This window comes from Homo sapiens, chromosome 5 (assembly GCF_000001405.40).
Source record: "Homo sapiens chromosome 5, GRCh38.p14 Primary Assembly".
NCBI lineage: Eukaryota > Metazoa > Chordata > Mammalia > Primates > Hominidae > Homo > Homo sapiens.
The window spans coordinates 8,806,045-8,824,761 of NC_000005.10; the positions used below are offsets into that span (position 1 = coordinate 8,806,045).

An 18,717-nucleotide genomic window follows, 5' to 3' on the forward strand; every position below is an offset into this window, starting at 1 on the left:
AATTGATGTTTGGGAAGCCTCACCTAGATTTCAGAGGATGTTTGGAAATGCCTGGATGTCCAGGTAGAAGTTTGCTGCAGAGGCATGACCCTCATGGACAACCTCTGCTAGGGAAGTGCAGAAGGGAAATGTGGGATTGAAGCCCCCACATAGATTGCCCTACTGGGTCACTTCCTAGTGGAGCTGTGATAAGATGGTCACTACCCTACAGAACCCAGAATGGTTGGAGACCATTATTCTGAGTGTTTAGTTAGGTAACTCAGGAATAAAAAACTAAACATCGTATCTTCTCACTTATAAGTGGGAACTAAGCTATGAGTATACAAAGGCACGAGAATGATATAATGGACTCTGGGGACTCCAGAGAGGGCAGGCTAGGGGAGTGAGGGATAAAAGACTACACACTGGGTACAATGTACACTGTTCAGGTGATGGGTGCACCAAACTCTCAGAAATTAGCACTAAAGAACTTCCTATGTAACAAAAACCCACCTGTTCCCCCAAAACTATTGAAAAAATAATTTAATGCCTGCTCTTTGAAAATAGACTTAGGAAAATGAAAACCAAAAAACCCAACCATATACAGAGGGACAATATTTTTAAAACATATTCCTGATGAAGAAATGTTCCAAATTGCAAACAAAACAGACAAAAGAGCAAAAACAAAACTGAAAATTAAACATTGGTATAGGTAATAAACAAAAAGTCATTTAACATAATTATTCATTAGGGAAATGTAGATTACCACATGAAATATTGCTGCACAATTCTAAGAGCAAATCTAATACCCTCCCAATGGCAAAATTAAACGCTGGAAAACATATGAAGAAACTGATATTGTAATAGTTTGCTGACCATTTTGAGGTTCTGTAATTACTCTCGTTTCCCAGAGTAATAATATTAACACCAATTGGAAATGTTTTTCAAAACAATGACTTTACATTCTATCTCATATGTGTTGAGTAAAATATGTTTGAAGTTAAAATGATGCCAATATTAATGGATTTTGCTACAAAATTAGATATATTTCTATTTTTATTCTTGGAGGAAACTGGCTCATTAGTTTATAATTCTTTTTTTTTTTTTTGCCTGAGCAAAAAGTTCACAAAATTTAAAATTCACAAAATATAAAGGAGTATACAATGAAATGTGATTTTATTATGGCTCTGTTTTATGAGTATAATCTGTTTACTCAGACAGTACTGCTAAGAATATTTAGGTTGGCTCCCACATTTTGCTGTCACAAGCAGTACTTTATTGAGAATAGTTGCAATATATCATTTTATTAATACACGTGTGCAAGAATTTTGACAGAATGCTTCACATATAGAATTTGATATATCAAAGTACATATGCAATTATACTTCCAAAACATATTTCCGAATTACCTTCCAATTAACATTCTCTTTTTCTCACTTGACAAAAAATAATTTTGTACATTTATGGGATACAACATGATGTTTTGATCTATACGTACATTTAGAAACATTAAATCAAGATAATTGGCAATTTCATCAGTTCACCAATTTATCTTTCTTTGTGATGAGAATGTTAAAAATCTATTTTAGGAATTTTGAATTATACAATACATTATTATTAACTGTGGCCACCATTCCATGAAATAAATCACTAAAATTTATTCTTCCAGTCAAACTGAATCTTTCCACCATTTAAACAACATCTTCACTTTTGCTATTCCTCTCACTGTTCCCAACTGCATGTAACCATCTTTCTATTCTGTTTCAATGAGATCAACTGTTTTACATTCCACATAAGTGACATCATACAGAATGCGTTTTTCTGTGCCTGGCTTGTTTCGCTTGCATAATGTCCTCCAGTTACATTCATATTGTCACAAATGACAGAATTTCCTTCTTTTTAAAGGCTGAGTAGTATTCTTATGCATACATGCCACATTTCGTTATTCTTTCATCTATTAATGGACTTACTTCCATATCTTGGCTAGTGCTGCTGAAATGGACATGGGATTTGAAGACCTCTCTTTGACATACTGATTTCATTTCAAATATATACCCAGAAGTGGAATTGTTTGATCATACGGTAATTCAATTGTAATTTTTTTAAGGAACCTTCTTACTATTTTCCAAGGTGGCTGTACTGATTTACATTATCACTGTACAAGTGTTCCCTTTTCTCCACATCCTCACCTACACAATCTATTTTTGACAATAGCCATTTTAACAGGTGTGAGATGATATTTCATTGTGATTTTAATTTGTATTTCCCTGATTATTAGAAATGTTGACCATCTTTTTATGTATCTGTTGGCCATTAGTATCTCTTCTGTTAAGAAATGTCTATTCAGATCCTTTGTCTATTTCTAAATTGTGTTGTTTGTTTTATTGTTATTGAGTTATTTTCCTTCTGTATTTTAGATATTAGGCCCTTATCAGATGTACAGTTTGTAATACAGTTGGCCCTTTGTATTTGTGCGTTTTGCATCTGCAGATTCAACCAATCGTGAATCAAAAATATTTGAAAAGAAACAATAAAAATAAAAATACAACAACAAATGATATAAATAAATATAAAGCATACAAATTGCAACCTAGTATTTACATTGTATTAAGTATTTTTAGTAATCTAAAGATGATGTAAGGTATACAGAAGAATGTGCTGCATAGGTTATAGGCAAGTATGGACTATGCCATCTTTTTTATTTTTAGGGATTTTTTTTATTTCAATAGGTTTTTGGGGAAGAGGTGGTGTTTGGTTACACAGATAAGTTTTCAGTGGGGATTTCTGAGATTTTGGTGTACACCCAGTGTACACTGTACCCAATGTTTAGACTTTTATCCCTCACACCCCCACCCTTCTTTCCAAGTCACCAAAGTCCATTGTATTATTCTTATGTGTTTGTGTCCTTTTAGCTTAGCTACCAATTATAATTGAGAACATATGATGTTTAGTTTTCCATTCCTGAGTCACTTCACTCAAAATAATGGTCTCTAACTCTATTCAGGTTGCTGTGAATGCCATTATTTTGTTCCTTTTTATGGCTGAGTAGTATTCATGGTATATGTGTGCCAAATTTCCTTTATCTGCTCATTGGTTAATGAGAATTTAGGCTGGTTTTATATTTTTGCAATTGCAAATTGTGCTGCTATAAACATGCCTGTGCAAGTGTTTTTTTTATATAATTACTTATTTTCCTCTAGGTAGATATCCAGGAGTGGGATTGCTGGATCAAATGATAGCTCTACTTTTAGTTCTTTAAGGAATTTCCATACTGTTTTTCATAGTGGTTGTACTAGTTTACATTCCCACCCGCAGTGTAAAAGTGTTCCCTTTTAACCATATCCACACCAACATCTATTAATTTTTTATTTTTAAATTCTGGCCATTCTTGCAGTGGTAAGGTGGTATTGCATTGTGGTTTTGATTTGCATTTCCCTGACCATTAGAGATGTTAAACGCTTTTGTATATGTTTGCCATTTTTATATCTTCCTTTGAAAATTGTCTATTCATGTCCTTAGCCAGTTTTTGATGGGATTATTTGGGTTTCTTTTCTTGCTGATTTGTTTGATTTTCTTGTAGATTCTGGATATTAGTCCCTTATTGGATGCATAGTTTGTGAAGATTTTCCCCCACTCTGGGGGTTGACTGTTTACTTTGTTGATTATTTTATTTTCTGGGCAGAAGATTTTTAGTTTAATTACTTCTCATCTCTTTATTTTTGTTTTTGTTGTATTTGCATTTGGGTTAATGGTCATGAATTCTTTGCCTAAGCCAATGTCTAGAAGAGTTTTTCCAATGTTATCTTTTAGAATTTTTATAGTTTCAAGTCTTAGATTTAAGTATTTGAACCATCTTCAGTTGATTTTTTTTAATAAGGTGAGAAATGAGGATCTAGTTTCACTCTCCTGCATGTGGCTTGCCAATTATCCCAGCATCATTTGTTGAATAAGGTGTCCTTTCCCCACTGTTTTTGTTTGGTTTGTTGAAAATCAGTTTTCTGTAGGTATTTGGCTTTATTTCTGGGTTCTCTATTCTGATCCATTGGTCTATCCTATTTTCATGCCAGTATCATGCTGTTTTGGTTACTATAGCCTTATAGTATAGTTTGAAGTCAGGTAATGTGATGCCTTCAGATTTGTCATTTGTGCTTAGTTTGATTTGGCTATACAGTCTTTTTTGGTTCCGTATAAATATTAGGATTGTTTTTTTTTTCTAGTTGTCAAGAATGATGATGGCTCTTTGATAAGAATTGCATTGAATCCATAGATTGCTTTTGGCAGTATGGTCACTTTGACAATATTGATTCTACCTATCCATGAGCATGGGTTATGTTTCCATTTGTTTGTGTCGCTGATGATTGTGTTTTCTAGTTTCCCTTGTAGAGACCTTTCACCTCCTTTGTTAGGTATATTTATAAGTATTTTATTTTTATTTTGCAGCTGTTGTAAAGGGGATTTGTTCTTGATATTTTTCTCAGCTTAGTCGTTTTTGGTGTATAGCAGTGCTACTGATTTGTGTAAATTGATTTTGTATCCTGAAACTTTACTTAATTCACTTATCAGATCTAGGAGATTTTTTGATGAATATTTAGGGTTTTCTAGGTATATGATTATATCATTGGCAAACAGAGGCAGTTTGATTTCCTCTTTACCAACTTGGATGCCTTTTATTTATTTCTTTTGTGGGCATTTTTAAATTTTGGTGATACCTATTTTTTTGCTTTTGTGATCCATCCATATTACATTGTATTTAAGGATTCTTTGGTTGACTCTAAGTCATCAACATGGTTTTTCTATTTTATTCCAGAAATTTTGAAGTTTTAGGTTCTACATTTAGATCTCTAATTCACTTTGAGTACATTTTTATGTGGTATAAGGCATGAATAACCATTGACAGTTTAGCCATAAATCTTTGCATGCTATTTTGTAGTGATTCTTCTTGGGATTACAAAATACATCCTTGATTCTTCACAGACTACTTAGAGTTCATTTTGTAGCCCTTCCTATAGAACCAGCCTAGAAACACCAAGATTTCATTTTGGCATGCATGAATTTTTATGCTATAATTGATATATATGCATTATATATTCATATCATATTAAATTCAAATACAATGTCATAGTTTTGTATAGTCATGTGTTTTAAAAAAATAAAAAAGATTACTTTTCTGTGTATCATATTTTCCTATTGCCAGTGTTATTCATGCCTTCCTGAAAATTTAGGTTTTTTAACTACCTTTACTTTACTTCAGCCTGATGGAATTACTTTTAACATTTCTTGGAGAAGATTTGTTCTGCTGACAATGTTTGCATTGTTTTTAATGTGCTATTAGCTGCCTTTCATATCTTCATTCCTCTGTATGTAATGTGTCATCTTATTTCTTTTTACTTTCTAGTGTTTCATTTTATCTTTGGTTTACGTGAATTTAACTATTTTGTGCCCAAGGTGATGAATTTATTTTATTTATCCTGCTTAAGGGCTGTTTAGTGTATTATCGCCTTCGTCTGTGCATTACTTAAATGATGATATTCTCAGAACTCTGCATGGACTCTATTTTCATCTCATTTTCAGAGGAAATTCATCCTTTCAAAATAGCAAGTTACCATCTGTGTGTTGATAATTCCAACATCATTAACATTAGCTGACATACCTCTCTTCTTTTTTATGACTGTATGTTCAGATATTTTTTTCCACAGTCTTTATCAGGCATCTCCTTTGTGGCCAGCACTTTTCCAGGACACGTGTATAAAATCTTTGAAAACAGATTGAAGAACATAAACAGACACTTCTCAATAGAAGACGTACTAGCAGCCAGCAAATATGTTCAAAAATGCTCATTATCACTAATCATTAAAGAAATGCAAATCAAAACTATGAGATACCATCTGGCACCAGTCAGGTGGCTTTTGTTGAAAAGTCAAAAAATAACAAATGTTGGCGAGGCTGCAGAGAAAAGGGAATCCTTATACGGTGTTGGTGGAAATATAAATTGTTCCAGCCACTGTGGAAAGCAGTTTGGAAAATTCTCAAAGACTAAGAGTTGAACTACTATTTGACTCAGCAAACACATTACTGGGTACATACCCAAAGGAAAATAAATCATTCTACCAAAAGCATATGCACCCATATGGTCATCATACCACTATTTATAATAGCGAAAACATGGAACTAACCAAGCTGCTCATCAGTGGTGGACTGGATAAAGAAAATGTGGCACATATACATAATGGAATACTATGCAGTAATAAAAAAAATGAAATTATCTCCTTCGCAACAACATGGGTGCAGCTGGAGACCAACTTCCTATATGAACTAGTGCAAAAACAGAAAACCAAATATCACATTACTTTCGCTTGTAAGTGGGCACTAAACATTGAGTACACATGGAAATAAAGATGGAAACAACAGATACTTGGGACTAATAGAATGGGGAGAGGGAGGAGAGAAAAGGCTGTAAACTACCTATTGGTTATTATGCTTACTACCTGGGTGACAGGTTCAATCAGATCCCAAACTTAAGCATCACACTATATCCCTTTGTAACAAATCTGCACATGTACCACCTGATTCTAAAATAGAAGTTGGATAAAGGAATGAACACCAGATTCTACTTAATGGGGTTCACATCACAGTTGGAGAGAGATAACACAAACAAACAAATACAAGCATAACTGATGAGATTAACTAGTGAGCATAATGAAAACAAAAAGGAAATTATCCCAGAGATTTATGGAAATGAAGGGTTTTAGCTAAAATAGCCTGAGAAGGCTTTCTGCAGAGTCAACATTTAAAATGAAACCCAAATTCACATCTCTTCACGGAACTCCCCCTCTTAGGTATCAGATTGCCTATTTAAGAGATCCACTTAGATGTCTAACTGTTACAGCAGGTAGGTAGTCAGACATAAGCAAGGCAAAAGAGTCCTCCATCTCCCACCCCACCAGGAATGTAAGGAGACCATCAGGTGATGGTCAGTCGGTTGTTAAACTATCTGTCTAGAATAATAATTGGTCACAACTGGTGCCAGGGAAAGGAAGTCGCCCAAAAGATTAAAAAAAAAAAAAGAAACCTAAAACTGATGATCAGCAGCTCCTGATAAGATCTCAGGAGTTAGGTGAGTGGGCTCAAGCATGTGCACTAAGAGGTGAAATGGCAGAGTTTAACTGGTGACACTCAACTGATAAAAGAAAACATCTCAAGTAAGCACGCATACAACTTCAGCAAACACATTGGGCATGCAGCCCCTCCCGTGTGCTGGTAGGCCACTGCACATGCAGACAGCCCACCCCAGGGAAAGAATCAGGGGAGAAGAGATGCAACTTCCTGGAAACATGCCAGCATATAAAACCCCAAGTCAAATGTCAAACCGCACATGAATCTCTCAAGTCACCCTCTTGGCCCTCTTCCAAGTGTACTTCCCTCCATTTCTTCTCTAAAACTTTTTAATAAACTTCCACTCTTTAAAACTTGCATCAGTCTCTCACTCTGCCATATGCCCTGCAGTCAAATTCTCTCTTCTGAGGAGGCAAGAATTGAGGTTACTGCAGACCCATACAGACTCACTGCTGCTAATATACCTATTGGATACTTAGACTTTCAATACTAACTTTCTGATTTTTACCTAAATATGTTTCTTCTACAGTCTTCCCCAGGGTCAAGGCCATCTTTTCATTTTCTCTGGCCACTGAAAGAATTAGTGACCCTGTCAGATCTTGCTTTTATATGTTAGGTGAGATTAGGGAATTTTTGGTCTAAGTCCCAGCTTCGAGTAGTTGCTCCACCTTTATGTGCTCCCCAGTACTCTATGGAATAGGTCCTTTAAAGAACTTCAGATTCATCTCTTTCTGCAGTTCCCTTCCCTCTAGGCCTCTAGAGTTTTGCAAACTCTAGCTATCTTGGTCTCCCTAGATTCTCAGTTGTCTCTTCAACTAAGGAAATCTGCTAGGTTCTGTCCACCTTCCCTCTCTCCACGCTCTGTCTTGGAAACTCAAAGGCAGTAAATTGGAGTGATTTGTAGTTTTTACTTCATTTGTTTTCTGTCTCTTGTGATCCGTCCGTCTCCTTTGCTGCTTCTTGAAATCCATTATTAAATATATTTCTGCATTTTTTTACACTTTTGGGAAAATAATATATCCTATTCTTACTATTACATCTTGGCTGGAGGTGAAGCTTCAATTTGCATATTAATAGAATTCAAGATACTGACCAGCAGGGAAGTACCCCTCAGGGAAGATCAAGAGCAGCTCTTTCCTGCAGCAACCAAGCACAGATCATGCTCAGGGCTGTTCCTCAGGCATGTGGATGGCAGCATCCACTTAGCTTTCAGACAACTCTTCAAAGCAATAGCAGCTTGCTTCAAAAACCTCAGGGGGATGATGAGAATGTTAAGGGGGAACAAGAACATGATCACACAGGACTTACTCAGAAAGATTTTACTGCATTGCCTTTGTAATCATATTCTAGTTTGATCATAATCAAATGTAAAAATAGAAGCAGATTTAATTAGTGTGACGAGTTGGATATAGGAAAGCAAGAGTTCTATGTCTGAATCATATTTTCTTTCTTACTAGATGATATGGTTTGGCTCTGTCCCCACCTAGATTTCATCCTGAAATATAATTCCCATATATAGGAGGAAGGACATGGTGCGAGGTGATTGAATCATGGGGGAGGATTATCACCTTGCTGTTCTCATGATAGTGAGTGAATTTTCACCAGATCTGATGGTTTAAAAGTGTGGCACTTTCCCCTTCACTTTCTCTCTCTCTTTCTCCTGCTCCACCATGTTGAGACATACTTCCTTCCTCTTTTCCTCCCACCATGACTGTAAGATTCCTGAGGCCTCCTAGACATGCTTCCTGAAGAGCCTGCAGAACTATGAGTCAATTAAACCTCTTTTCTTCATAAATTACCCAGTCTCACATAGTTTTTATTGCAGTGTGAAAATGGAATAATACAGAAAATTGGTATCAGGAGAGAGGGGCACTGTTATAAAGATACCTGAAAATGTGGAAGTGATTTTGAAAAAGGCTAATGGGCAGAGGCTGGAAAAGTTTGGAGGACTCAGAAGAATATGAGAAGATGTGGGAAAGTTTGGAACTTCCTAGAGATTTGTTGAATGCTTGTGACCAAAATGCTGATGGTGATATGGACAATGAAGTCCAGGCTGAGGTGGTCTCAGATGGAGATGAACCGCTTATTGGGAACTGGAGTAAGGGTCACTCCTGCTAGGCTTTAGCAAAGAGAGTGGTGGCATTTTGCCCTTGCCTCGTAGATCTGTGGAACTTTGAACTTGAGATAAATTATTTAGGGTATCTGATGGAATAAATTTCTAAGCAGCAAAGCATTCAAGAGGTGACTTGGCTGCTTCTAAAAGTATATGCTCATATATGTAACAAAAAGATGGTCTGAAATTGAAACTTATATTTAAAAAGGGAGCAGAGCACAAAAGTTTTGAAAACTTTGCAACATGACCATGCAGTAGAAAAGGAAAACCCATTTTGTGGGGCGAAATTCAAACTGGCTGCAGAGATTTTTGAAACTGAAGGGAAGTCAAATACTAATAGCCAAGACATTGGGGAAAAGGTCTCCAGGGTATTTCAGAGATCTTCGTGGCAGCCCCTCCCATCAGAGGCCCAGAGGCCTAGGAGAAAAAAATGGTTGTGTGGCCCAGGCCCAGGGCCCTGCTGCTCTGTGCAGCCTTGGTTTGTGGCACCCTGCATCCCAGCTGCTCTAGCTCCAGCCATGGTTAACAAAAGGAAAGTAAACCTTGGGCTATGGCTTCAGAGGGTACAAGCCCCAAGCTGTAGTGGCTTCTACATGGTATTGGGCTTGTGGGTACACAGCAAGTAAGAACTGAGGTTTGGGAACCTCCACCTAGATCTCAGAGGATGTATGAAAATGTCTCAAAGTCCAAGCAGAAGCCTGTTGCAAGGGCACAGCTTTCATGGGAAATATCTACTAGGGGAGTGCAGAAAGGTAATGTGGGGTTGGAGTTCTCATACAGTCTCTCCACTGGGACATTGCCTACTGGAGCTATGAGAAGAGGTCCATGGTCCTACAGATCCCAGAATGGTAGATCTACTGACAGTTTGCACCATGCACCTAGAAAAACCACATGCACTCAGTACCAATCTGTGATAGCAGCCACAGGGGTTGTACCCTACAGAGCCACAGGGGCAGAGCTTCCCAAGGCCTTGGGAGCCCACCTCTTGTATCAGCATGTCCTGGATGTAAGACATGGAGTCAAGAGAGATTATTTTGGAGTTTTAAGATTTAATGACTACCCTGCTGAGTTTTGGGCTTGCATAGGGCCTTTAGTCCCTTGGTTTTGGCCAATTTATCCTTGTTGTAACAGGAACATTTACCCAATTCTTGTATCCCCATTGTATCTTGGAAGTATTGTTTTCTTTCCATGGCTCATAGACGAAAGGGATTTGTCTTGTCTCAGATGAGACTCTAAACTTGGACTTTTGAGTTACTGTTGGAATGAGTTACGTATTTGGGGGACTGTTGGGAAGGCATGATTGGTTTTGAAACGTGAAAATGACAATTTTGGAGGGTCCAGGGGCAGAATGATATGGTTTGCCAATGTGTCCCCACCCAAATCTCATGTCATATTGAAGTTCCCAAGTATCACAGGAGGGGCCTGGTGGGAGGTGATTGAATCATGGAGGCAGATTTCTTTCTTGCTGTTTTCATGACAGTGAGTGAGTTCTCATGTGCTCTGATTGTTTAAAAGTGCGACACTTCCCCCTTCCATCTCTCACTTTCCTGCTCCGCCAAACTAAGATGTGCTTGCTTCCTCTTCACCTTCTGCCATGATTATAAGTTTCCTGAGGCCTTCTAGCCATGCTTCCTGTATAGCCTGCAAAACTGTGAGTCAATTCAACCTCTCTTCTTCAAAAATTACACCGTCTTGGGTAGTTCTTTATACAAGTGTGAAAACAGACTAAAACACCAGATATAATAATAAATTAATTGTTATAATCCTTCATATAGCCAACTATAAAATGGGAATGAGATTAATAGACACCTACCAGATCAAATATGAGAACTGGGCACACTGATGGATAATATGTTTTATCTCTGACACACAATTTACACTCAACATAAAATAACTAGTATAATTATTCTTAAGACACACATGTCTAGGCTGTAGTTCTAGAAATAGTAACAGAAGTCATTTCTCCTCCTTTGAAAATTAAATAAAAGCACAACTATAAGTTATTAATGAAATTGGTAATATATTAGTGATTTTATTATTTTGTAAAATATAAAAGGTGAATAAAACTCTACACAGTAACGTGGAACCATGTTAAAATGTAATATAATCAAAAATTTTAACATGGTTTGTTAATTGGAAACGTGTGAAATAGCTGGATAAGAATGAGGCATGAGCCAGGCACAGTGGCACATGCCTGTAGTCCCAGCTACTTGGGTGCCTGAAGCTGTAGGGTTGCTTGAGCCCAGGTGTTAGAAGCCAGTCTGGGCAACATAGAAAGATCCTCACTCTTAAAAAAAAAAAAAGAAAAAAAGGTATCCTTTGTATCCTTCAACCAAGAGAATCCAATTATCTTATTTTTGACAAGTAGGATTCATTTTTCTTTAATAGAGATCATTTCAGAGCAGTTTTAAGTTTAAAGCAAAATCAAGTAGAAAGCACAGAGTTTCTGAAGTCCCTGCCCCAAACACCTACAGCCTCCCCCACTATCAACATCTTATATCACAGTACTACATTTGTTAAAATCAATAAATTTGTATTTACACATCATTATCACACAAATGTTTATACTTTACATTCAAGTTTACTCTTTCACATTCTATGAATTTTCACAAATCTTTAATGACATGTATTCACAGTTGTGGTATCACATAGAATAGTTTCACTGTCCTAAAACTCCTCTATGCTCCACCTATTCATCCCCTTCTAACCCTCAACCTTGGAAAGCACTCATCTTTTTTACTGCCTCATAGGTTTGCCTTTTCCAGAATGCTATCATACATTATATAGCCTTTTAGATGAACTTATTTCATTTAATAACATACATTTAAGGTTTCTCTATATCTTTTCATACAGTTCACTTCTTTTTAGCACTGAATAACATGGCATTGTCTGGATATACCACAGTTTATTTATTCATTCACCTCCTGAAGGGTATTTGGTTGTTTCCAAATTTGAGCAATTTTGAATAAACGTGCTATAAACATCTGTGAGCAAGTTTTTATGTTGATAAAAGTTTTCAAGTTGTTCGGGTAAATAACAAGGAGAGCAATTACTGGATCGTATGGTAAGGGTATATTTAGTTCTTTAAGAAACCAAACCTAAGTGACCATATCATTTTGAATTCCCATCAGCCACATATGAGAGTTTGCTCATATGCTGGTCCACATCTTCACCAGAATTTGGTATTAATGTTTTGGACTTTAGCCATTCTGATAGGTGTGCAGTTAGCTGTCTCTTGTTTGAAATTGCTACTCCCTAATGACATATCACATCAAACATATTCTCATATGTTTATTTATCATCTTATATTGCCTTTGGTGTGGTGTCTGTTCAGGTATTTTTGCCATTTTATAATTGGGTTGCCCATTTTTTTATTGTGGAATATTATGAGTTCTTTGTATAATAGCCCTTTATTTGACATGTTTTTTCAAGTATTTCTCCACATCCTATGATTTGTTTTCTCATTATTTTGACATTGTTTCTCACAGAGCAGTTTTAAATTTTAATGAAATCCAGCTCAGCAATTATTTGTTTCATGGATCATGCCTTTTGTGTTGTATGTGAAAAGTCATTACCTAACCTAAGGTCATCTAGATTATCTCCTATGCTATATTATAGGAGTTTTACCTTTAAGTCTGTGATCCATTTTAAGTTAATATTTTGAAGACTGTTATGGTCTGAGTCTAGATTTCTTTTTGGCATGTGAATGCCCAGTTTTCCAGCATCAATGGTTGAAAACACTATCTTTACTTCATTGTATCACCTTTGCTTTTCTGTCAAAGACTATTTGACTATATTTATACAGCTCTATTTCTGGGCTCTTGGTTCTGTTCCACTAATCTATTTTTGTATTCATTCACCAATACTACACTGCTTTGATTATTTTAGTCTTGAAGTCAGGTAGTGTCAGTTTTCCAGTTTTGTTCTTCTCTAATATTCGGTTGGCTCTTTGAAGTCTTTTGTCTCTCCATATAAACTTTAGAATCAGTCTGCCAATATCCACAGAATAACTTACTAAAATTTTGATGGGGATTGCACTGAATGTACATATCCATTTTGGAACAAGTGACATCTTGACTATATTAAATCTTTGAGATCTTCTCCATAGACAGTTATGTCATCTGGAAGTGATATGCTTTGGATCTGTGTCCCCACCAAATCTCATGTCAAATTGTAGTGCCCAGTGTTGGAGGTGGGGCCTGGTGAGAGGTGATTGGATCTTGGAGGTGAATTTCTCATAAATAATTCAGCACCATCCCCCTTGGTACTGCCCTCACAGCAGTGAGTGAGTTCTCATGAAATCTGGCTGTTTAAAAATGTATAGCACCTCCTGCTTCTATCTCTTCCTCCTGCTCTGGCCATGTTCGGAGTTCCCTTTGCCTTCTGTCATGATTGAAATCTTCCTGAGGCCTCCCCAAAAGCAGAAGTTGCTATACTTTCTGTATAGCTTGCAGAACCATGAGCCAATTAAACCTCTTTTCTTTAAAAATTACTCAGTCTCAAGTATTTCTTTATAGCAATTTGAGAATAAACTAATACAGCAATCAAAGAGAGTTGTATTTTTTCCTTCTCACGCTGCAGACCTTTGATTTATTATTCTTGTCTTATTGCATTAGCTAGAACTTCCAGGATAATGTTGAAAAGTAATAGTGAGAAGAGACATTCTTGCCTTGCTCATAGTAATACTTTGAAAGAAACATTCTAGTTTCTCACCATTAAGTATAATATTAACTGTAGGGTTTTTGTAGATATTTTTTATCCATTAGAGGAAATTCTCCTCCATTTGTATTTGCTGAGATTTTATTTTTTAAATCATAAATGAGTGTTGAGTTTTTCAAATGATTTTTCCAAATCCATGAATGTGATTACATAAGTTTTATTAATTGTTTATATGAAGAATTACATAACCGATTTTCAAATGCTGAGCCAGCTTTGCATACCTGAAATAAAACCAACTTGTTTGTGGTCTGTGATTCCTTTTACATAATGTTAAATTTAATTTGCCAATATTTTGTTGAGTTTATTTATTTTTTGCATTCATCTATGTTTATAAGAGCTACCAATATGTAGTTTTCATTTCTTTCAATGTCTTTGTCTGGTGATGGTATTAGGGCTATGCTGCCCTCATAGAATGAGTTAGAGAGCATTCCCTTTTATTATGTTTTGCTATAATTGGTATAGAATTGGTATAATTTATTTCTTAAATGTCTGGTAGAATTCACCAATGAACCCATCTGGGCCTGGTGCTTTCTGTTTTGTAAAGTTATTAATGATTTATATAATTTGTTTAAGAGATATGGGCTATTTATATTGTTTATTTCTTCTTGTGTGAGTTTGGCAAATTATGTCTTTCAAAAAAAGATTGCTTTCCTATAGTTTATCAAATTTGTTGGCATAAATTTGTTCATAATACTTATTATTATTTTTGATGTCAAGGGATCTGTGGTAATGTTCCCTTTTTTATTCAAGATATTGGTAATTTGTGACTTCTCTGCTTGTAATTTAGTTAGCCTGAATAGAGGCTTATTTTATTAACCTTTTCAAGAACCAGCTTTTGGTTTTGTTGTTTTTCTCTATTGGTTTCCTGTTTTTAATTTCATTGATTTCAGCTCTAATTTTTCTTTTCTTCTGCTCATTTTGGTTTTAATTTGCTCTTCTTTTTTTTTTTCACTTCCTAAGGAGAAAGATTAAATTATTTATTTTTTATGTTTCTTTTAAAATACGTGCATTCAATGCTATACATTTTTCTCTAAACATTACTTTTCCTGCATCCCACAAATTTTGATGTTACATTTTTATTTTAATTCAATTTAAAATATTTTAAAATTATTCTCAATTTTTTTAATTTTAATTTATTTTTTGTGGATACATAGTAGGTGTATGCATTTATAGAATACGTGAGATATTTTGTTAAAGGCATATGATGCATAATTATCACATTAGGGTAAATGCAGTATCCATTACCTCAAGCATTTATCCTTTCTTTCTGTTACAAACAATCCAATTATCCTCTGTTATTTTAATGTATAGTAAAGTATTATTGACTGCAGACATCCTGTTGTATAATCAAATATTAACTTATATTCATTCTATCTAACTTTTCTTTTGTGCCCATAAACCATCTTCCTCCACCCCTTGAATTTTCCTTTTGATTCATGTATTCTTTTAAAGTCTTGTGTATAATCTCTAAGTATTTGCAGATTTTTTTTAGTTATTTTTCTGATATGTATTTTGTGTGTCATTCAATTGTGCTCTAAAAGGGGACATTACTTCTATTCTCTTAAATGTGTTATTGTATGTTTTATGAGCAGAGTATGATCACAGGGGAATATTACATGTGAGCCTGAGAATAATGTGTACCCTAAATGAAGTAGTAAATAGATGTCAATCCAGTTGATTGATGATGCTCTTGAATTCAAGTATGTATTTACTGATTTTCTACCTGCTGGCTGGATTCCATCATTTCTGATACAGAAGTATTTAAGTCACCAACTATAATAGTGGATATGATTTGGATCTGTGTCCCTGCCTAAATCCCATGTCAAATTATGATTCCTAATCATGGAGGTGGGGCCTGGTGGGAGGTGATTGGATCACAGGGACAGTTTCTCATGAATAGTTTAGCACCATTGGTATGATTTGGCTCTGTGTTCCCACCTAAATCCCAACTGCAACTGTAATCCCCACATGTCAAGTGAGGGATGTGTTGGGAGGTGATTGGATCATGGGGACAATTTCACCCATGCTGTTCTCATGACACTTCATGACACTGAGGGAGTTCTCATAAGAGCTGGTGTGTTTTTTGTTTTTTTTTTAGATGGAGTTTCACTCTTGTTGCCCAGGCTGGAGTGCAATGGCGCCATCTCGGCTCACTACAGCCTCCACCTCCTGGGTTCAAGTGATTCTCCTGCCTTAGGTTCTGGAGTAGCTGGGATTACAGGCATCCATCAACACGCCCAGCCAATTTTTTGTATTTTTAGTAGAGATAGGGTTTCACCACGTTGGCCAGGCTGGTCTCAAATTCCTGACATCAGGTGATCCACCCATCTCCCAAAGTGCTGGGCCACCATGTCTGACCGAGATCTGATGGTTTTTAAAGTGGCAGTTTTCCCTGTGCCCTCTCTCTCTCTCTCCTGCTGCCATGTAAGATGTGCCTTGCTTCTCCTTGGCCTTTCACTATGATAGTAATTCTCCTGAGGCCTCCCCAGCCATGTGGAACTGTGAGTCAATTAAACCTGTTTCCTTAATAAATTATCCGATAGTTTCTTTATAGCAGTGTGAGAATGAACTAATACAACCATCCTCCTGGTACTGTCCTTGTGATTATGAGTGAGGTCTCATAAGACCTAGTTAGTTAAAAAATGCATGGCACCTCCCTATTTCTTTCTCTTGCTCCTGGTCCTGCCATGTGAGACATCTCACTCCCCTTTTGCTTCTGCCATTATCGTGGAAGCTTCCTGAAGCCTCTCTAAAAGCAGAAGCCAGTATGCTTCCTGTACAGCCTGCAGAACCATGAGCCAATTAAACCTGCCTTTATAAATTTGATAGTCTCAGGTACTTCTTAACAGAAATGTGAGAATGAACTCACAGTGAATTCATCTATTTTTCCTTGCACTACCATTAGCACTTTTCTTTTTATATTCTTTCCCTCCCACTTTTTACACACACACACACAAGAACACACACATATGCACACACATAGAAAATCTAAATTTAATAATCAAAATTTAGCCCCAATGCATCTTATATTATTCAGCAATGTTAAGGAAAGTTTATAAGATGATTACGGAATTATTTTCATATAAATACAAATAATTTTGCAATTACATTATGTCAAATTAAAATAAATTAATAATCTATTTTAATTGTGTTGCATTGTTGTACAGTTGGCTATACAAGATAAATGAAATGCATTGATTTCTACTTGAAGACTTCAATTTGATCCTGCATATATTGAATAAAGTATGACTTAAAATTTTATGCTCACATCATTCATCCAACAACAAACAATGGCTTACTCTGTTAAAATGAAAACATTGAGGAATATGAAAATAAGTTAAGCTGATATTTTGTCTAGAATTAAGAATGAAAGCAAAAATAGTTGTTTTATCATCATATGGACAAAACATAGGAACTTGGCATGAAATTTTCTGTTATTATTAAAGCTACAAAATTTTTATACCACAAAACATGATATTACTAATACACACAAAGGATAGAATTATCACTTTATTTATACTGCTTTTGAATGAATAGACTAAAAATATGTAAATGCAATTTAATATGCAATGCACAATGTAACTAGAATTTTAGGTTACTCAAATTTACGAATACTTTTATCCGAGATCATTATTTGCATTTAATAATCTTTCCATTTTGTTTTAAGATATAAAGTCTTAGTAATACCACTTAAAGGAAACACACCATAAAATGATAATCATTGGAATAAAAGCATTTTCTCATTAAGAAAATTTTTGCATAAAATTATATATTACTATGTCAAAATATATCTTTAGCATTATAATATATGCTTCTGTATAAGTTATTATGTATAACATGGGGACAAACTCAGAAAATTCATTCTGTGTGATTTTCTTCCTCACTAGTAAATCAGAGCTGAATGCTAATGCTGTTCCAATTGAAATATTTTCTACTTATATATGTTTATCCCTTCAGGGTAGCATGACAATATTGATACTTCAGTCATTAATATAAATAGATTTGTAGCACCAAAAATTTAGATTCAAACAGGATACACCTAGCTGCTCATGGCTTACAGTTTACTTGTTGTTTGATTTGTTGACTCGTACAATATCTATCTTTAGAAAGACCTTAAGGAAGTTCATATTAACATACACAATGAAATAAGACAAAATATAATAATTCAAGTGGATCAGAAGAGTGGCCTATTTTTTCATTTGCATGCCCCATTATGTGTTCCTTGATACGATTACATTGTTTTAGTCAAACATTTTTATTTGAGGACAAAAAAAATTGGATCCATCAAAGATAGTCTAAGCCACATGATACTGAATGATTTAGAATTTCAGCTTGAGACATTCTGGACATCCATATAGGTATGCAATTTCAGCAATTTTCCATCTAGCAGACACATTTCACATAAGACCACCATCCTATTCTTATATGATTCCCCTTTGTAGACTGTTTACCTTGTTCTGGGGGTGTCTTCATAATTACAAGCTCACACAGAAGACATGGCATTTATAATACTAGTATTGTGGAAGCTGGGAAAATGCTGACTAGAATGCTAAAACAGTCTGGTGTGGGACTAGCGCACCTGTCACTCAAGATAAATGGCCATAAGCACCACAAGCAATGAAGGTGAAAGCCCACAGCCTTGGGCCAGACCTCTGTTATATTCACTCTCTCAAGGAACTGATGTAAGAAGGACTTAATCAAAGGTAATTTATGGCAACTCACAACCTCTTGATTTGTTCTATTTGGTAGCATTTTAAATTACAATCAATGAAATTATAGTCAATTGTTTTATA

At 35.6% G+C, this 18,717-nt stretch overlaps 1 long non-coding RNA gene across 4 annotated transcripts in view; it reads right to left on the reverse strand.

Moving 5' to 3' along the window:
* LOC101929307 (uncharacterized) overlaps nucleotides 1-18,717 on the reverse strand; it is an 88,088-nt gene that overhangs the window by 49,641 nt on the left and 19,730 nt on the right. Inside the window, exon 3 of one of the 4 annotated variants that reach the window (XR_007058685.1) lies at nucleotides 5,630-5,731. The exons of 2 other annotated variants lie outside the window; for them this stretch is intronic. This is a non-coding gene — a long non-coding RNA (uncharacterized LOC101929307). Of the gene's footprint in view, nucleotides 1-3,548; nucleotides 5,732-18,717 lie in introns of those variants that run through there. One more of the 4 variants, XR_925771.3, reaches the window with a different exon arrangement.